The 3,042-nt window shown below is 40.8% G+C and overlaps 1 annotated feature.

The window, feature by feature from the left end:
* Nucleotides 2,040-2,578: an enhancer, noted in NCBI's record as "NANOG hESC enhancer chr18:75967979-75968517 (GRCh37/hg19 assembly coordinates)". NCBI's record gives its function as "activates a minimal SCP1, AML or CMV promoter by ChIP-STARR-seq in naive H9 embryonic stem cells {active_cell/tissue: H9 hESC(naive)}" and the evidence as "EXISTENCE:reporter gene assay evidence [ECO:0000049][PMID:30033119]".

The following is a 3,042-nucleotide window of genomic DNA, read 5'->3' on the forward strand; positions in this document are numbered from 1 at the left end:
CAAAAATCTAGTTCATAATAGATAGTTAATTTAATGTTATGTATATTTTATCACAATTAAAAATTTTGAAATAACTTTGCATAAAGCAGATAATTAACACTAAAATCTCTCCATCTACTTACACTCATATGCATATAAGTTCTCTCATAATAAAGTCTGGCCTTAACCCGGTTTAAATCTAGGGCAGTTGGGACAGGTAAGAGGCTTGCCATTGTGCTCTTTTGACACTGGCATTGTGTGAAGGTTGCTATAGCAAAGGCATCATAATTTAGGAAAGTCAAGGTTAAGTTCTTAGGTCAAAACCAAACCAAGAGTAAACCAACTGTCAAAGGTGCTTGAATCACAAGTTAAGAATCTTGAATCACAATATTCGAAGACTGATCCTACAGAGAGAACTCACATTTCTGATAAGGCACTGCTGTAAAGTGATAGGTAGCTGGATCTAACCACTATCGAATGCAGACCACAACCGGCATGGCAACTCTTCGTTGTTCAAAGATAAGGGCTTTATTTTCCAGAAAGAGACAACTGCAATGCCATACAGAGTTAATAAGCAAAGACCAAGAAATACAAAATCCTATCATAGTAGACGAATGGGTCCAAAACATGCAATTGTGTCACTTAAGGTTCATCTCATTGTGGGCTTTGTGAAATGCCTCTGCAGGTAGCTAGTGGACACATGACATCCAGCTGCACTGACGCTTGGGGTGAACTGTTAGCTGATGTCACTATAAGATTTAAATAATGATGGGGACATTTCTGGGCCCTAGAGCTGGCTGGTGCCTCTAGGACAGTAGCAGCAAACTTGGGAAATCTCACAGTGACATGGTACTCGTTTTCCTAATGCAATGCAAGAAAATGGTGGTGGTTGTTTTGGGGAGCCCTGGAGATGTGGGTATCCATTCTCTGCCAGAGTCATCTGCCTTCTCCTACCAAGCTTCCACCTGCCCTCCATGTTCCCCTGCACCCAGCACCCCTGCCCCAGAATGAGAGCCTTAGCCTCCCCATATTCCACAAAGGGCCTGAGAGGAATATAGGAGTCCGTTGCTGTTTATGTCATACAAAACTTCCCATTCCTACAGAGACCTACAGTATCTCTGATTGGTAACATGTAATCTGAAGGAAAAGATGAAAGGCACAACCCAGACGAGATCCTGTTTAAAACACACACACACACACACACACACACACACACACACACACACCCAGCACATTAGGGCATAAAAGAGAACGCAGGCATAGCAAATTTACTTCTTATGTTTACTCCTTACAACCAGTTCTTCCATTAGAAGGAGACTCCTGCAAGCATGAGTGCTCAGTGTGCAACTTTGGTAATTCTAAACAAATACAGCTTTGGTTGCAGAAAACGTTCTAAAAAATGAACAGGTTCAGGCACTCCCTTTACAAATCCTGACCTCTCATTTTTAAGCTTTTGCCATTTATTGATCCAATTGGATCTTTGTAAAATCACACTTTTGGACCCTTGACTTTATCTTTGTTTTTCTCAGATCTAACTAATTTCACATGAGAAAAGAAATTGTGACATCATCCCATCACTGCTCAGACATGAAACTTTCACTCCCAGCATGGACAATGTTTCCCTTTAAGGAAAACAGGACCCTTGACTTCGCTGGGCGCTGCTGATGGAAGAGGTTCGTTCAAGCAACCCTGGACAGCATCTTCCATATGGGAAGCACCTCCTTGACGAAAATGAGAGATGAATATGACTGCAAACCCATGCATTCCGGTCTTTGTTGTGTAAATAAACATACTTCTCAATCTCAACTGTTTGCCATTAAAAGGGAGGTTCTTAATTTAGTACCATGTTTTTAAAATTCTTACCCACACAGACTCATTTTCTCTGTGTTTCTGTCTGTCTCTTCCTTTGCTATATTTTGCACTGCAAGTGCTAAACTAAAGAAATTGAGAAATAGGGTAAACACTGATAAACGTTTAAACATTTAAACACAGACACGTACAATGCTGCTCTCATTCCCCTCATCGTGGGCCCTCATCTTCCTGTGGTCCTGGCAGGAGGAGAGACATGCGTGTAAAGGGGGGATGTTGAAGCAAGTTCGTGTTACCCCACCTGTGAGCGCCTGCGCTTCAACACAGCACAGCTGTGGAACCCGGGAAAAACATGTACACTCTACCCGCAAGAACCAAACCCTTTGAACTCATTAGAAACAGATCTACCACTAGTAAGCAACTGATTATCAGACATGTTACTGACCCATTGTATAACAACCTTGGAAGCAGGCTCGCTGCAGCTGGAAAATTTAAAGCAGCTTAGAATCAAAGACAATTCAGATGACGGCAGATTGAACAACAAAGCCCTCCTAGGCGTTTGCCAGCCTCTCCATTACTGTTTCCATTCACCCTTTTCTTTTTGTGGATTGTTATTTTCTAAGATTGATTCACTGCTTATGCATTTGCAAAACATCTTTACAGCACTCTCTATAAAAATAATTTTGAAAATGTATTTCTGTTAGCTGCACGTCTATTAGTAAAAACATCTCCAAATGACTGACTTAATTCACTAATCTTTTAATGTTCACCACATTTTACTAAAATTTCAATCTGTGAATTATGAGTTTTGAAAGATATTAAAGAAGAAATGTGCTGAAAATATCGTGTGATGGTTTTACCTATGATGTGTGTGGATAGCAACTGCCGTTTGCAGATATTTAAACAGTCATGATTTTCTGCTGGTGTTTCTAGTAGCCCACAAATGAACATTTACTCTCACCTTTGTGAACTCTGTCCTATAAATCTCTCCACTTTGAAAGGACTCCCTGTCTCTTCTTTTGTGTCTTTTAAAACCAAATCCATTTAATTTCTTGTGAAGGTTTCTTGAGTATATTTTCCACATGAACTCCAAACCCCTTGAATTATGACAATTGAAGACTGATTCAATGCTTTTTTGAATCCCCAGGACCCTGGAAACTTTGGCCTCCGCAGGTGCCTGTAAGTGAGCTGTTTCTTGGGAGTGTGCAGAGGCTGCCTTCTCCTGTCTTGATCTCAGTCCCCATCTCCTTTCCC

Source organism: Homo sapiens, chromosome 18 (assembly GCF_000001405.40).
Source record: "Homo sapiens chromosome 18, GRCh38.p14 Primary Assembly".
NCBI lineage: Eukaryota > Metazoa > Chordata > Mammalia > Primates > Hominidae > Homo > Homo sapiens.